This window comes from Homo sapiens, chromosome 1 (assembly GCF_000001405.40).
Source record: "Homo sapiens chromosome 1, GRCh38.p14 Primary Assembly".
Classification (NCBI taxonomy): domain Eukaryota; kingdom Metazoa; phylum Chordata; class Mammalia; order Primates; family Hominidae; genus Homo; species Homo sapiens.
The window spans coordinates 10,933,139-10,949,082 of record NC_000001.11 but is presented as its reverse complement, the minus strand read 5'-3'; the positions used below and the strand labels follow the sequence as shown (position 1 = coordinate 10,949,082).

Sequence of the window (15,944 nt, the reverse complement as noted above, 5' to 3'; positions counted from 1 at the left end):
CTGGCTAATTTTGTATTTTTAGTAGAGATGGGGTTTCACCATGTTGGCCAGGCCAGTCTGGAACTCCTGGCCTCAAGTGATCCACCCGCCTTGGCCTCCTATTGTGTTGGGATTACAGTCGTGAGCCACCGCACCCGGTCCCTCGAACCCATCTTTGGGTTGAGATTCTCAGGGCAGCCGGAGCCCATGTGTTCTTGTTTCTAATGCTTTTTCTCTCTCCACTTCTCTCTTGGTGAAGAAGGGGCTTGGACCATTCCTGCAAACAGCCAAACCGGCGAGAAGAGGCCAGACATCTGCCTCCATTCTCCCCAGAGTGGTGCAAGCTCAGCGAGGTCCCCAGCCTCCCCCAGGGGAAGCAGGGATCCCTGGACACCCCACACCTCCAGCCACGCTCCCCTCGGAGCCTGTAGAGGGTGTCCAGGCTAGTCCCTGGCGGCCACGTCCAGTCTTGCCAACGCACCCGGCTCTGACCCTGCCCGTGTCCTCAGATGCCTCCTCTCCTTCACCGCCAGCCCCGAGGCCTGAACGACCTGAATCACTTCTGGTCTCAGGACCATCTGTCACCCTGACTGAAGGTCTAGGAACTGTGAGGCCTGAACAGGACCCCGCCAAGTCTCCAGGAAGTCCCCTCCTGCTGAGAGGCTTGTCAAGCGGGGATGTGGCTGCACCTGAGCCCATCATGGGGGAGCCCGGCCAAGCCAGTGAGGAGTTCCAGCCATTGGCGAGGCCCTGGCGGGCCACACTGGCTGCAGAGGAGCTGGTTTCTCACCGTTCTCCCGGAGAGCCCCAGGAAACGTGCTCTGGAACGGAGGTGGAGAGGCCACGCCAGACAGGGCCTGGTCTCCCCAGGGAGGGGGCCAGGGGGCACATGGACCTTTCATCCTCAGAACCAAGCCAGGACATAGAGGGGCCGGGACTCTCCATCCTGCCAGCGAGGGATGCCACATTCTCCACCCCAAGTGTGAGGCAGCCAGACCCCAGTGCCTGGCTGAGTTCAGGACCTGAACTCACCGGGATGCCCAGGGTGAGGCTGGCAGCGCCCCTGGCAGTTCTTCCTATGGAACCTCTGCCACCAGAACCTGTTCGCCCAGCAGCTCTTCTGACACCCGAAGCCTCATCTGTGGGAGGGCCAGACCAGGCCCGATACCTGGAGTCAGCCCCTGGCTGGCCTGTGGGCCAGGAGGAGTGGGGGGTTGCACACACGTCCAGCCCTCCATCCACGCAAACCCTGAGCCTGTGGGCTCCCACAGGAGTGTTGCTACCCAGCCTGGTGGAGCTTGAATACCCCTTCCAGGCTGGCCGGGGGGCCTCACTCCAGCAGGAGCTGACAGAGCCCACCTTGGCCCTCAGTGCTGAAAGCCACAGGCCTCCTGAGCTTCAAGACAGTGTGGAGGGGCTTTCTGAGAGGCCCTCACGCTGAGCCTCCATGGAGACTCCAGGGTGAGTCCTGGGTGCACCCTGGGGAGGTAGAGTGCAAAGGGTGGGAGGCAGTGATGGGTCGGCCTGGAGGTGGGGGCTGGGGGCCGTCTTTCCAGGGAAGCCCCGGTGCTCTTCTGGCCCAGATGATCACTGTGCTCAGCCACAGCTAGGCATCTAGGCCAGGGAGTCCAGGGGCACTGGGTCACTGAGAGTCACTGGGGCCATCCAAGCCAGCAGGGTACCAGCTGCTGCCATGGAACCCAGAGGGAGGGGTGAAGCGGCAGGCCGTCTGCCTGCATGGACCTCCCCGAGGGAAGAGGCGCTGAGTGCAGGGCAGTGTCTCCTGGTCTCTCCCTGGCCCTGCCAGCTGTGTTTCTGGGCTTGGTCTGCTGTCGGAGGTGGTGAAGCATCAGGGTGAGGTGCAGGCTTTGCAGCCAGGCCTGCCAGGAGCTAGGTTCAAGTCCCAGTTCCTCTGCTCTTTGGCTGTGTGACCTTGGCAAGGCACTCACCTCTCTGAGCCTCAGTTTCCTGATGGGTCAAATGGGGATGGTAATCATTCCTCCCGATGGGGCTGTTGAGAGTTGGGTGGGAAAGGAACGTAGAGCATTTGGCGTGGAGCCGGACTACATCCAGTGCACTCAGAACTCGAGAGCCATTCTTACGGCGATCATTCCACCATCCACCTCCCGGCCCAGGCAGAGGGGATGCTTGCAGGCCTAGGAAAGCATGGAGGGCCTGAGCCATGGTTCAGACATCTCTGGGGGTTGTTGGTGATGGTGATATGAACCCTTGGTGTTTACCCCCTCCCCAGGCCTTGGGGTGCCATGACCTCAGGTCTCTAAAGGACTCCAGGGGAGGAGAATGGGATGCCACTGCTTCGTTTTCATTACTCATAACTCCCTTCCTCTGGGTTCCATGGCAGCAGCCGGTACCCCGCTGGCTTGGACAGCCCCAGTGACCCTCAGTGACCCAGCTGTCCCCAGGCTCCCTGGCTTAGATGCCCAGCTGTGGCTGGGTACAGTGTTCTGGGCCGGAAGAGCACTCACTCAGTGCTTCCCTGGAAAGGTGGACCCCCAGACGCCCACCTCCAGGCAGACCCATCACTGGAAGTGGGATTTGAAATGCAGCCAAGAAGAGGAGACCGTCGGCAACGCCCGCCCGGAACAAGAAATAAATAAATAAATAATCAGGGTTGTCTTGGCTGATAAACGGTCCCCACCTCGAAGAAGACTTCTCCCCCCTCTGCGCTCCCTCCTCCTCCCTCTCCGGGCAGATCCGTCCCGGGCAAAAGCTTAATAGCCCCATTTAAGGCTTTTCCTTTTCACCACGAGACTGAGCTGCTCCTGCCATTACGAGGTTTTCAGCTTCTCTCTGAAATCAAATTACTGACTCCATTTAATTTTTTAAAAGCTCAGATGATTTCCCTTCTCGAATCCGAGCCATGACTCCAAGACCAGCCCCCACCAGCCCTACCAGGCGGTTCCCCTGCGGGCAGCCGCTGCCCTGGGACGGCGGCCCCCACGCCTGGGGAAGCCTGACACCTAGAGGGAAAGCCAGCAGGAGGAGGCCTGAGTCTCTGGCTGCCACCCTGGACACTGGGCTGGGTGGCCTGAGCTGGAGGAGGCCCACAGGAGCCCATGGCTAGAGGCCGGATGATCTTCAAAGGCTGGTGGGGTCAGTGGTTAGAGCCCAGCACTGATGCCGTAGGCTCATACGGGAGGGTCCCTAGCCTCCCAGTTGCCTTCCCACAGTGTGTGTCTGGGACTCTACCACTCAACAAAGGTTTATGGAGTGCCTCATCGGTGGTGCCAGGCACTGTTCCAGCCCCGGGGAGGCTTCAGTGAATCGAATGAAATCCCTGGTGTGGGAGGGAAAGTTCTAGAGTGTACGTGAGAGGGGGATTGGACACCGACAATGAACACATGAGACAATTTCAGACAATGCTTCCTGCTCTCAAGAGGAGCAAACAGGCAACTCCGGTTGCGAGCTGCTTTGGGTGGGAAGGTCGGGCGACCCCTCTGAGGAAGTAAGGAGGCAACCGCAGAAAGAGCTGGGGGTGGCATCCAGGCAGAGGGACAGAAGAGCAAGGGCCCTGAGGAGGGCTGGAAGGATGGAGAGAAGGCCATGGAAGCTGGTGGTGTGAGCGGGAGAGTGCAGCGGGGATGGGCCTCCAGGGCTTGTGGGCCCCGTCAGGAGCCCAGATTTTATTTTGGCCTTGATGGGCCGTCCAACAGGGGCCTTTGAGCAAAGCAGTAGCCTTGAGTAGATGCTCGAAAAGGCTGGCTGGAGAGTGGATGTCAGAGGGACAGAGCAGCAGCCCCACTGAAAGGAAAGGTGACTCAAAGGGTCTCCTCTTTGAGGGCTTGTGCCCCTCCCACACCTGCGTCCAGATGACGCAGGGAAGGTGGCTGCCTGGTGACGTTGGAGACGTGACACGTCTTTTTATGATTATTTATTTATTTATTTATTTTTGAGACAGAACCTCGCTCTGCCGCCCAGGCTGGAGTGCAGTAGCTTGATCTTAGCTCACCGCAACCTCCGCCTCCCAGGTTCAATCGATTCTCCTGCCTCAGCCTCCTGGGTAGCTGGGATTACAGGTGTGCACCACCACGCCCGGCTAATTTTTGTATTTTTAGTAGAGATGGGGTTTCACTATGTTGGCCAGGCTGGTCTCAAACTCCTGACCGTGTGATCCGCCCATCTCGCATCTTTTATCTCAACACTGGCCGTGGTGTTTCTCCCAGGAATCAGTCTCTGTCTCTCTTTGCCTCCTCCCCTCCACCTCCATCCACTTCCATCCACCCCTGCCCTTTCTCCATCCCTGTAGAGCCCCCCAGCTTTGGGACAGGGTAGACCAGGGGCACACATGCACAAGAAAGTCCTGTAAACAAGGGCTGACCCTTTACCAAGTCCTCCCGTGTTTAACAACCACCCTGCGCCCTTGGAGACGAGACAGAGGGAAGGGAGTTAATGAAATCACCAGCCTTTACCTGGCATAAATGGCTCTTCACCCCCCAGGCGGGCGGCGATTTGCAAGGCTGAGAGGGTCTGGGCATTAACTGTTCTGGGCACTCTTCCCAGCTCAGCGCTCCGTGCAGCTGGAACAAACCACTTTACTTCTCTTCCTTCCCCCAGCTTCGATCTGCACCCGCTCAAAAGCGGGGCAGTCGTGCTTAATTAGAAAGTGCTCAGGGTTCTCGGGAAGGCTCCCATTCTCCCTCCAGATGGGACAACCCCATTTCTGTGACCAGGGCAGACCTGGCTGGCACCCATGCCTGCTCCCGGGACACGCACGGGTGTTGCCTCTGCTGGTTTTCCTGCTGAGACCTCCCAGGTCTTGCAGTCAGTTGTTTATGGCTGACACGTCTGTGATCAGTGAAAGTCTGGCAGGGAGCAGCTCTTTCCCTCGGGGTCAGCAGCTGCCGGGAGATCTTGGACAGCTTAGGTATCACTCAGTGGTTCCCCGCCCTCAGCGGCTTGGATTCTTATCTTTTATGCCCCCACGACTCCGCATGAAGTCCAAAGGCTGTGTTGCATTTATTGTACTTTTCTCCTGCTACACAGAGCAGCTGGAGCTGGTCCAGTTTCTCTTTTGGGCTTTCCTTCTTGAGCACAAAGCCTTTCACGCCCTTCAGCATCCAGGCTCATTGTTTGTCCCTGGTTGAAGGTCCTGACTTACTAGTGTTTTTTTTTTGTTTGTTTTGTTTTGTTTAGAAGGCGTCTCACTCTGCAGTCCAGGCTGGAGTGCCATGGCACAATCTTGGCTCACTGCAACCTCTACCTCCTGGGTTCAAGCAATTCTCCTGCCTCAGCCTCCTGAGTAGCACGTCACCACACCTGGCTAATTTTTGTATTTTTAGTAGAGATGGGTTTTCGCCATGTTGGCCAGGCTGGTCTTGAACTCCTGACCTCAGGTGATCTGCCCACCTCAGCCTCCCAAAGTGTTGGGATTACAGACATGAGCCACCACGCCCAGCCTCCCAGATACCTTTTATTCAGTTTCTTAGTTGTAATCCTCCCAATTACTATGTAACCAGAGAAGCAGTGTGGTTGGGAAGTGCTTTCTTCTGGAGGTCTGGAGACCAGATCTGTCCCCACAAGCCATGTGGCCTTGAGCTAGTCAGTTCACTTTCTGAGCCTCAGTTTTGCTGTTTGGAAACCGGAGTGAATGGCCCAGCAACCTCTGATCCAGGAGGACACCTGGGCCATCCCATGCAGATGGGATGTTCAGAATCTCTCATGCAGCCAGGGGAGAACCTCTCTCTTCTGAGGGTCCATTATCACTAGCCCAGCCCAGCCCCGGCCCACCGCCCAACACCTCTGCTGCTCACAGGTCTGGTGTCTGGGGCTGGGGGCTGCCAGAGACATTAAGCCAAGCCAGGTGGGAGGACAAGATGGGACGATATGGACAGAAGTTCATTCCCATGCAGGCAGCCAGAGCCCACCTGTAACCTGCTCCACAGATGACCTCCCACCTGTTCCTGGTTCCTTTCCCAACAACCAGGCTGAGCCGTTCCAGATCCCAGATGGAAAAGCCCTCAGAACAGTGGTTCTCAAAGTAGCGTCCCGGAACAGCAGCCCTTCCCACCCCCCCACCCCCACCTCGTGCTTGTTAGAGAAATGCAAATTATCGGGCCCCACTCCAGACCTACAGATCCGGAAATTCAGGGGGTGGGGCTGGGCAGGCTGCAGGACTGAAGCCATCCAGGGGGTTCTGACGCCCCACTGTGTAAGTTGAGAAGTGCTGCATGAGAGAATCTGTGAGGGATACCCCCTAAATCAGAGAATGTCACAGCCTCCATAACAATACAACACTTGACTCTCATACACCTCCAAGTACTTGCCACCTCCATCTGTTCATTGCGCCCAGCACCATCCCTTCCAGGGAGAAAAGAATTGTTCTTCCCATTTTACAGAGCAAGAAACTGAGGCTCAGGGCCCGCCCAAAGTCACAACCAGCAGATGGTGGCACGAGGGCCCAAACCCCGGCCTCCTCATTCCAAGGGGAGGGCTCTCTCTTGGACACTTTGGGTTTCCGGGGCTTCTTAGACCAAGAGAGCAAATGCATGTTCCCCCGCCAGAGAGGCATTCCCCCTTCCAGCCCTCTCCCCACTTCCCAGTTGCAATCTTAGGCACTAACATCCAGGAAACATAAATTTTGCCTGGCAGTTGAGTAAGAGCTCTGAAAGGAGTTACACGTCAGGGGGATGGGGCTTTATTTCTCAATGAAATGGCCTTTTTATGGTTGGAATAAAAGTGCCAGGGGGAGCGTCATGCCAGGCAGTAGCAAATTATTTGATAAACTCCTCCAGCCAGGGGTGGGGCTGCGTGGGAGGTGGCGGCCAGAGAGAAGATCCCCCCATTTCCAGATGCATGTTTCTCTTCAGGTTAACCCTGTGGAAGACCCCGGGGGGCCTCGTGGGCCACCCAGCTGGAGAAGGGCTGGCCCTGGGACCATGCCAATGCCTTCGCTCCGATACTAGGTCCCGGGAGCAGAGCTGCAGTTCAGAGAGCGAGCAGCAGGGGGCAGCGTAACCCACCGTTCCAGCCCGTCCGGTGGGCGCTGCCGGGGGCTGCGACGCCCGGGTCCCTGAGGCTCAGCCTTCGGAGAAGGTCAGCAGTAGCCCCCTCCCTGGGACCTCTTCCTCCTCCCTTCAGCCCTTCCAACCCCTTGTCCCTTCATGGCAAGGAGAGTTTGTCAACCTTACCCTGGTGGCAGCCTCTGCCCGGATCCAGATGACCATGGGGGTGGGAGTAAGTGGGAGGGGGCTTCTTCATCCCCTTGCCCACCCCGTGGCTGCTTTCTCAAAGCTTCTCCAGGGTTTGCTTTGGATTTCATTAACCCTTGGCTTCCTTCTGAGGGGCCTCTGGAGGGGTCTCTGTGTTCGTGGGTGGGTGGCTTTTGTGGGCTGGGGACGATAGCCTTAGTGGTCACTGGGGGAAGGGGGACAGGATAAAAGCCTGAAGGACAAAGAGAAAGCAAGGAAACCTCCTCGTTTGAGAACGTGTGTGATTGGCAGGTTTACGGCCTCGGGAAGGTGCGTGGTATTCCGCACAATCAAGTCATTTTTAAAAATAATCTCTCTGCTTAAGTCGTACACGCTGCTAATTGCATTTTAATAAGTCTCTTAAAATCTTGCCATATTTTTTAATATCCTAATATTAGGTAAGTGATTGCGGGGGACACTGGAGGGCATGGGGAGTTTATGTAGCAGAGGGAGGGCTGTGATGAAGCCGGGGGGTGGTGGCCACCCAGTGGCCTGTGGTGTGTGTGGGTGATGGATGGCTGTCTGTGTCTGTGTGACCTGTGCAAGATCCGGGGGGTGTGAGTGTCCATAGAGAGGGCTTCTCCCAGACACAGCCCTGGACAGTGGGCCCCGTCTTCAGCCGTAGTGCCAGAAATCACTTATTACACCTGCTGGGGTCCCTCAGCCATAGGGGACAGACAGGCTTCCTCCTTCCTTTTCATCCTCTGGCCCCAAACTAGAACATCTGAACTGGAGGGGACCTTTGACCCAGTTCCTCTTCTCCTCTTTTCCCCAGGATGCAGGCCCTGAGCCCAGAGAGGGCAGGTGACTTGGCCAAGGCCACGTAGTAAGAAGGGGACCGGGGGGAAAGTTGGACCCAGTCTTGAGAGGGGCAGAGGAGGAACTGCCTCGTCCCTCTAGTCGCAGCACAGGGCGCTGGCTGCACCATCCGGCCCTAGCATCCTTGCACACACACTGCATGCTCTGACCTCCCCGTGGGGAGAAGGTGGGTGGTTGCTGGTGGTGGCTGCCATTCCTGGAGCCCTTACTACATGCCAGGCACCCTGCTGAGCACATTCCCCTGAACAGCCATATGGGTTGAGTATTTTAGGATTCCTGGGTGGACCCACAGCTAAGAAATGGCAGAGCTGGGATTTGAACCCACAGTCGCTCCTGTGCCTGGCTGGGGAAGGTTCTTAACTACCATTGGATGGGAGGCTGAGCTGGGATCCAAGCACATTCTACATCTCCGAATGCCCAGGGCCAGGGAGGACCATGCTGGGAACAGCAGGGGAGACTGGCAGAGGCAGGGAGGTAGGGCATCGGGTGCCTACGGTCTTTTTCTCCTGACCCCTCTGTTACTACAGGGCAGGGTCCCAAGGCCAAGATCAACATCAACCCTTTTCCCCAGAGCCCCTGGAGGTCAGAGGCCTGGGAAGGCGGTGGCCTAGGGTTGCAGGCCTCAGACTTAGCCATGCTCTGGGTTTCTGGAGGCCCCTGAGGCACCCGCCAGCCTCCACTGGCCCTGGCCTTCCTCCTCCCTCCTCCTCCCTCCCACTCCTCCATACACGCTACGGGCCCGGGTGGGAGGCACATGTTGAACGAACTTCTGAACAGGAAGTCAGCATCCAGGTCGTCCCGAGTCCCTTTTCATGTGGTTTCTTTAATCCCCCAGGCTGGGTTTCAGAAGCATTTTACAGTTTCAGTTTTACAAAGCTACGCTCCCTTTAATGTTGGCGTTTTTCAGGAGGTGGGGGGAGAGCGGCTTCAGTCAAAACATGTGTGTTTTACATCAGCCAGCTGCGGACAGGGTGGCCCAGGGCGGGAGGCAGCAATGTGGCTTCCAGGCTCCACGCGGGGTCCTTGGGTAGATGCATCTACTCGGCTTTCTCCCTTTCCTCTCCTGGGCTCTGCCTTCCTGCCTCCCTGAGTCCCTCTCTCCTGTCCATGTGGCCAGGGGGGCCAGGGCACTCCTTTCCAGCCCCTTCCCACCTGAGCTCTGATCTGGTCAATGCAGGTCTTCTTGCTGGTTTCTGCTGCCGAGACACCAGCGTGCTGATCTTCCTCCACACCCTGAGCCGTATCCTCCAACCACCTGGGCTTTCATTTACTTAGTATTTTCCCTTAAATCGCTGCCCTTCTTTCACTTACGTAGATAGTACCTAAGCAAAAATGTCCCTGAAATTGTGAATTTGATGTGCTAGTTACATCTATCTGCTCTAATACACAATAAAACAAATCTAAAACTATTAAGGCATTTAAAAAGGTGAAGATCATCACGCCAGCCTCGCATGCTTCTGGAAATCCTGCCTCCATCCCCCTTCCCTGGCAGAGAAGATGAAGGTCAGGAGGTAAGGTGGCCTGTCCGAGGCCATGGGGTTGGTGAGAGTCCTACCTGACTGGTCTGCCTCCGAGGCCAGCATTGGATCTGCCACGAGTCATTTCCAGGGCTGGCTTCTTGGCTGCGCAGTTTCAGGCTTTAGAGGAGCCGCCTGGGGCTCTGTGAGCACACCAAGGAGAGGGGCTGAATTCCCTGGCAGTGCGGGTGGGTGGAAAGAACACAGACTTGGAATCAGTCAGACCTGAGATCAGATCCTGGCTGCACTAACTAAGAGTGTGATCGTGGGCAAGCATCTCCACGGCTTTGAGCCTTGGTCTCCTCATCTGTGAAATGGGGATGACCACGCCGGCCTGGAAACAGCAATGCCAGGGTCAGAGACACACCTGGAAAGAGCCCGCATTGGCCAGGCCTACAAACCCAGCGGTCATTCGCAAGCCCTCGGTGCTTGGTTCTTATCCACTGTGCTCCTTGTCGCCAGCCTGGTTTCACCATCTCTCCTCCCCTACCCACAGGAGGCAGCAGGAGGTCCAGGGAGGGAGGATCAGGAGTAAAGGTGCATGCCCAGAGGGGCTCACGGGCCCTCCCACCCTCTGTCCCTGCGCTGCCTGGGAGCAGAGCAAGTCCTGCGTGGGAGGATGCTGTAACCAGCAGTGCAGTCCGCGCCCTGCCGGGAGAAGAAGGAAGACAAAGGTGGCTCTCCCTGCCCACAGAGGTGGGGTGACTCGGGGGCTCCAGAGGCTGTTTGGATAGGGGGGAGGGCCTAGGACACCTGATCCATGCTGCCTGAAATGATGGGGGGTCCAGTATTGCAGAGGCCACCCCCCCTGGTAAAGCAGAGGCCCTGACCCCTGCTGGCCCCAGAGCTTTGCTGCTACCCGGAGCCCCCAGCTGCTTGAGGGTCTTTGCCTCCATAATGGCCAGGGGGTCTCTGGAGCATGACGCCTCGGATCTGAGCTGCCATTCTCTGGCCACAGAGTGAAGTGGTCTGGCTTCCCCCATGCCAAGGGCTGCCCCCAAAGGATCTGGGAGAGTGGAGGAGGCTGATGTCAGGCCAGAACATAGAGGGACAGGACCTAGGGGTGGGCACTGTTCTAGCCGCTGATTCTCTCCCTTCAGAGCCTGGCGGCAGTTAAGAGACCTTGAAGAATGCAGTAGTGATGACGATGATGATGGGGAGGCTGGTTAAATGCACTGGGCGCTTGCCATGTGCCGGACCCGGTGCTAAGTATTTTATTTTTATTTTATTTTTTTGAGGCAGGGTCTCACTCTGTCACCCAGGCTGGAGTGCAGTGGTGCGATCTCGGCTCACTGCAACCTCCACCTCCCTGGTTCAAGCGATTCTCTTGCTCAGCCTCCCGAGTAGCTGGGACTACAGGCGTGCACTACCACGCCCGGCTAATTTTTGTATCTTTAATAGAGACGGGGTTTCGCCATGCTGGCCAGGCTGATCTTGAACTCCTGGCCTCAAGTGATCCATCCACCTCGGCCTCTCAAAGTGTTGAGATTACAGGCGTGAGCCACCACGCCTGGCTGCAGTGCTGAGCATTTTAAACAGTCATTTCATTCCATCTGCTCTGTGACACACAGTGGGAGGCATCTAGAATAGTGCCGGCTCACAGTAGGCCCTCAACGAATACTTAAGAAAGAGGCTTGGAGAGGGTGAGAGATCCACCCGATTCTCAGCCTCCGTGCTCTTACTGTGTTTGTCCTTCAGGGCTGGCCGCTAGGGTGGGCATCCGGGTGTTGGCGGAGGAGAGGTTTGGGGCCGCAGGTTCTGCACAGCGCACCTGCTGGCTCTTCCTGAGGGAGGCTGTGGCTGTCTCTTTCGGGTGGGTCTGTGGGAGGGCCATCCCCCAGGGCTGAGGATGCCTTGTCCACTTACCCCAAGCCACCCAGGGGAGCAACACCCTCAGCCTAGGGCCTCTTCTGCTCCCCCTGGGGCAGTGTAGGGCTGGGCCCGGCCCGGCTGCAGCTGCGTGGGGCCCAGGGAGGAGAAAATCAAAGGCAGCCCATGTGGGTCCTGCTTTCATCTCCTGGCTTCAAAGAGGTGCAAACAAACCCTGTCCCCGTGCCAGGCAGCAGCTCCCTCCTCACCGCCCAGCCTGCTCTTTCTCTTCTCCTCCTTCCCCGGAAACCAGCAGGCCTCAGTCCTGGTTCCAGGAGCACCCCAGAGGGGCCCGACTCCTGGCTGTGTGCGAGAGGCTGGGCAAGGCTGGCAAGGAAGGAAAGGGGAGGCTCTGCTAGGCCGAGAGAAAGGGGGCTGGGACCCTCTCACCTGCGCACGCTCTGGAAGCTGGGGGTTTATCCAACCCAGACATAACCTGCCAATCTAGAACTGTACTGTCCAGGACTATGGCCACCTGTGGCTCCTGACACCGGTCTCCCATGTCTGAATGCCCTACAGGTAAAAGGTGCACAGGACTGCTCAGCTTTGGTGCAATCAAAGGAATGTGAAATATCTCATGCATCATTTTACCTCTGACTATGGGCTGACAGGATAATATTTTGGAGCTATTAATATAATAGCTATAATATTTTAAAGCTATTAAACATGGCTTTAAAAAAACATGTTGTTAAAATTAATTTCACTTGGTACTTCTTACTCTTTTTTTTTTTTTTTTTTTTTTTTTTTGAGACGGAGTTTTGCTCTGTCTCCCAGGCTGGAGTGCAATGGCGCGGTCTTGGCTCACTGCAACCTCTGCCTCCCGGTTCAAGCGATTCTCCTGCCTCAGCCTCCTGAGTAGCTGGGATTATAGGCATGCGCCACCACAACCAGCTAATTTTATATTTTTTAGTAGAGATGGGGTTTCTCCATGTTGGTCAGGCTGGTCTCGAACTCCTGACCTCAGATGACCCGCCCGCCTCAGCCTCCCAAAGTGCTGGGATTACAGGCGTGAGCCACCATGCCTGCTGGTTTTATTTCTGTTGGATTGCTTTGTTCTAGACAATATTCCCATGTTGTTCTTTTTGATTTTTTCAAGACGGAGTCTCGCTCTGTCGCCCAGGCTGGAGTGCAGTGGCGTGATCTCGGCTCACTGCAGTCTCTGCCTCCCGGGTTCAAACAATTCTCCTGCTCCAGCCTCCCTGGAAGCTGAGATTGCAGGCGCGCATCCCACGCCCAGCTAATATTTGTATGTTTAGTAGAGATGGGGTTTCACCATGTTGGCCAGGCTGGTCTCGAACTCCTGACCTCAGGTGATCCACCCACCTTAGCCTCCCAAAGTGCTGGGATTACAGGCGTAAGCTACCGCGCCTAGCAATATTCCCATTTTGCAGATGAGGGTCCTTGAGGCTCAGAGGGATTGTGGCACATGGCTCCCAGGTGCTGCTCGTAAAAATCATGAATGAATGAATTAATGCATAAATGAATGAATGCATGCATGAATGAATGAAAACCTAGTCCTGGCTGCTGGGGAGACACAGGTGAAACCTGTCCCTGTTGCTGCCCTCAAGGAGCTCCCAGTCCAGAGTCTAGTCCAGTCTAGGAAGGAGAGGTAGTAGTGGAATCAGAGACCCCTGCATTCTGGGGGACCCCAAGGCCTCTGCACAGTAGAGCGGGGAGTGGTAAGTGGCTCCTGGGTCCACATCCTGGCTTCGCTGCTTCCTGGTTGTATGACCTTGGGAGAGTTACTTAACCTATTTATGCCTCAGTTTTCTCATCTGTGAAATGGGGATGATAATAATTATCATTACCATGGAAGCAGCTCCCTCTTGGGTTTCTGTGAGGATGAAGGGAGTTAACACACCCGACTCAGGTGGGGCAGAGCTTTGCGCATAGTGCGTGCAACCTGGTAATGATTAGTTATAATTCGGGACAAATGCTGTCCATCACGTGTCACCTGGTCCTGACAGCAGCACCTGCGAGGGCTGAAGGCAGTGTCCTGCCCTGGAGAGAGAGATGCACTCCCAGCCGGTCCCAAGCTGCCACCACCTGGAGGGGAGAGCGGAGGGATTCTGTGACTTTCCCTCCAAATCGTTTCTCTGGGTCCGCTTGGGCAGCGCCTGGAGTCCCTGCTTTCTGGGCTTCGTCTCCTGGCCTCGCCTGCCACCCATCATCTGTTTGCTCCATGACACACCCACCCTTACCCTACCCTATCCCAGCTCTGTCCCTGAGGCCCTGGGGCCTCTGGAAGTGGCTTTGAAGAGAAACGCCTTCCAGGTAAATACTACTTTGTCTTGCTTCTGTGCTCTCAGGACAGACAGAGCCTCTGGTTTACTCCTGGTTACCAAGGACCTCCCAGGGAGGGTTGGTGGGAGGTGGAGGTGGGGAGCAGGTAGCCCAACACAGTGCCTGATGCACGGGAAGGCCCACTCCAAGAGGTGAGGGGAACCAGGCCTAGGGGACAGCAGGGTTCCTGGAGGTCTGGGTGGGACCTGGCAGGCTGTGTGTGGGCACTATGAAAGCACAGGCCCCCAAGCTGCGGGAACAGCCAGAGGAAAGGTCTGGGGAAACATCCGGGGGCAGCGAGATGATCCATCACATTCATGGTGAGCCCAGGACCCTCTGGAGCCTGGATAGACCCCAAGCATCCCCAGGACTGCAGGGGGACACTTGGAACCCACCCCTGACACAGCCTTTCAATCTAGAGCTGCGCTGTCCAGGACCACAGCCACCCGCGGGCTCCTGAGCACCAGTCTTCCATGTCTGAATGAAGCTGTCAGGGACCCCACTGAGCAGGATTTGCTGAAGGCTGAGGGAAGGGGTGGGGGCTGTTCCCACAACTTGGCAGGGGTTGGGGGCACCCAGAGACGGTAGCAGGAAGCAGGATGATTAGAACCAAACGGGGCCGATGGGAACCAGATGTGATGAGGTTTTGGGGGCTCTTCCAGAGAGATGTTTTTCTTTTCCACTGAAGCTGTAGTTGGGGGAAGAGAAGGGCGCAGGCTGTTTGTTCCTCCCCGCTCCTCCAAAATCCGGCCCAGTGTGGCATCAGGGCGTTCTGCAGCCCCAGCCGCCAAAAGGTAATGAGAGCCACACCTGGAGGCGATTTGCATAACTGCTCCTGTGGTGCCCTAGGCCAGTTTCTGGGGAGAGGGCTGTGCAGGACCTATGTGGATGTGGATGTGGGGGTCAGGGGACAACAGCCCCCAGCCCAGTCCAACCCTCCCTCGCTCAGCTTGCAGGCCTGGGGATGCTTGGGGTCCAGAGGGTGCTTCACAGTAGCCCAGAGGCTCTGGGCTCCAAAGGGTGCTTCATGGAGTCTCCCCTGCTGGCAGGCCCCGTGACTGCTCAGCCTCACTACTCATGCTCAGTGCCCCTGCGCCAGCCACTTCTTCCAGGAAGCCCTCTGGGTCCTCAGGTTGGATCAGGCACCTTCTCTGGGCTCTGGAATGCAGTGGTGCCATTTCAGCTCACTGCAACCTCCACCTCCAGGTTTCGAGCCATTCTCCTGCCTCAGCCTTCCAAGTAGCTGGGATTACAGGTGCATGCCACCATGCCTGGCTAATTTTTATATTTTTAGTAGAGACAGGGTTTTGCCATGTTGGCCAGGCCCATCTCTAACTCCCAACCTCAAGTGATCTGCCCGCCTTGGCCTCCCAAAGTGTTGGGATTACAGGCGTGAGCCACTGTGCCCGACCTTCTCTGGGTTCTGACACTGGGTTAGAGCTCCCAGTATTTAATGTGGTGGATTATAACTCCCTCTCCCAGTGAGCAGTTATCCAACTTAGACACCCTCCCCAGCTGCACTCAGCACTGGATCTAATAGGGTACTGCCTGTGGCCACACCCGCCCGCCTCCTCAGGCCTCCCCAGATCCCAACCCCTCCCTCATGGACACCTTCTAACACTCTACTCCTGGGGCCACTCTGAATTTTATATATACATATATACATACACACACATATATATATACACACACACATATATATACACACACACACACACACACATACATACAGTAAATGGGTTTTTTAAAATCAAGTAAGTCACTTAAAAGCACTCATTGCAAAAATTACAAACCCCACAGAGGCATAGAGAGTAAAACATGAAAGACCCCTTTGCCTGGACTGGCCCCAGTCACTCCCTTCCTCATGGCAACTTCTGCTAGATTTGGTAAGCTAAGGTATCCAGTCTTTTGGCTTCCCTGGGCCACAGTGGAAGAAGAACTGTCTTGGGCCACACATAAAATACACTAACACTAATGATAGCTGATGAGCTAAAAAAAAAAAATCACAAAAAATCTCATAATGTTTTAAGAAAGTTTATGAATTTGTATTGGGCTGCATTCAAAGCCATCCCATGCCACAGGTTGGATAAGCTTGGTATAGAGCTTTCTAAATCGTGTGTGTGTGTGTGTGTATGTGTGTGTATGTGTGTGCGTGTTAAAAAATATACATATAGGCTGGGTGTGGTGGCTCACACCTGTAACCCCAGCACTTTGGGGGGCCGAGGTGGGTGGATCACTTGAGGTCAGGAGTTTGAGACCAGCCTGGCCA

The 15,944-nt window shown here is 56.1% G+C and overlaps 1 protein-coding gene across 6 annotated transcripts in view, besides 9 other annotated features; it reads left to right on the top strand.

Moving 5' to 3' along the window:
* Positions 1-2,608, top strand: part of CIROZ (ciliated left-right organizer protein containing ZP-N domains) — a 35,602-nt gene extending 32,994 nt beyond the window's left edge. For 4 of the 6 annotated variants that reach the window (NM_001170754.2, XM_047446828.1, XM_047446831.1 and 1 more), the window contains 2 exons: positions 239-1,440; positions 2,342-2,608. In NM_001170754.2, coding sequence (NP_001164225.1) covers positions 239-1,420 — 1,182 coding nt within the window. In that variant the 3' untranslated portion in view covers positions 1,421-1,440; positions 2,342-2,608. The remainder of the gene's footprint in view (positions 1-238; positions 1,441-2,341) is intronic. The other 2 variants (NM_001366227.2, XM_047446830.1) reach the window with 2 other exon arrangements.
* Positions 592-1,093: an enhancer, noted in NCBI's record as "H3K4me1 hESC enhancer chr1:11008047-11008548 (GRCh37/hg19 assembly coordinates)". NCBI's record gives its function as "activates a minimal SCP1, AML or CMV promoter by ChIP-STARR-seq in naive H9 embryonic stem cells {active_cell/tissue: H9 hESC(naive)}" and the evidence as "EXISTENCE:reporter gene assay evidence [ECO:0000049][PMID:30033119]".
* Positions 2,616-3,419: an enhancer, noted in NCBI's record as "H3K4me1 hESC enhancer chr1:11005721-11006524 (GRCh37/hg19 assembly coordinates)". NCBI's record gives its function as "activates a minimal SCP1, AML or CMV promoter by ChIP-STARR-seq in primed H9 embryonic stem cells {active_cell/tissue: H9 hESC(primed)}" and the evidence as "EXISTENCE:reporter gene assay evidence [ECO:0000049][PMID:30033119]".
* Positions 6,338-6,901: an enhancer, noted in NCBI's record as "H3K4me1 hESC enhancer chr1:11002239-11002802 (GRCh37/hg19 assembly coordinates)". NCBI's record gives its function as "activates a minimal SCP1, AML or CMV promoter by ChIP-STARR-seq in naive H9 embryonic stem cells {active_cell/tissue: H9 hESC(naive)}" and the evidence as "EXISTENCE:reporter gene assay evidence [ECO:0000049][PMID:30033119]".
* Positions 6,902-7,467: an enhancer, noted in NCBI's record as "H3K4me1 hESC enhancer chr1:11001673-11002238 (GRCh37/hg19 assembly coordinates)". NCBI's record gives its function as "activates a minimal SCP1, AML or CMV promoter by ChIP-STARR-seq in naive H9 embryonic stem cells {active_cell/tissue: H9 hESC(naive)}" and the evidence as "EXISTENCE:reporter gene assay evidence [ECO:0000049][PMID:30033119]".
* Positions 8,589-8,668: a silencer, noted in NCBI's record as "silent region_256". NCBI's record gives its function as "represses an Ori minimal core promoter by ATAC-STARR-seq in GM12878 lymphoblastoid cells {active_cell/tissue: GM12878}" and the evidence as "EXISTENCE:reporter gene assay evidence [ECO:0000049][PMID:35858748]".
* Positions 8,699-8,748: an enhancer, noted in NCBI's record as "active region_155". NCBI's record gives its function as "activates an Ori minimal core promoter by ATAC-STARR-seq in GM12878 lymphoblastoid cells {active_cell/tissue: GM12878}" and the evidence as "EXISTENCE:reporter gene assay evidence [ECO:0000049][PMID:35858748]".
* Positions 11,406-11,990: an enhancer, noted in NCBI's record as "H3K4me1 hESC enhancer chr1:10997150-10997734 (GRCh37/hg19 assembly coordinates)". NCBI's record gives its function as "activates a minimal SCP1, AML or CMV promoter by ChIP-STARR-seq in primed H9 embryonic stem cells {active_cell/tissue: H9 hESC(primed)}" and the evidence as "EXISTENCE:reporter gene assay evidence [ECO:0000049][PMID:30033119]".
* Positions 12,986-13,951: an enhancer, noted in NCBI's record as "H3K4me1 hESC enhancer chr1:10995189-10996154 (GRCh37/hg19 assembly coordinates)". NCBI's record gives its function as "activates a minimal SCP1, AML or CMV promoter by ChIP-STARR-seq in naive H9 embryonic stem cells {active_cell/tissue: H9 hESC(naive)}" and the evidence as "EXISTENCE:reporter gene assay evidence [ECO:0000049][PMID:30033119]".
* Positions 13,952-14,917: an enhancer, noted in NCBI's record as "H3K4me1 hESC enhancer chr1:10994223-10995188 (GRCh37/hg19 assembly coordinates)". NCBI's record gives its function as "activates a minimal SCP1, AML or CMV promoter by ChIP-STARR-seq in naive H9 embryonic stem cells {active_cell/tissue: H9 hESC(naive)}" and the evidence as "EXISTENCE:reporter gene assay evidence [ECO:0000049][PMID:30033119]".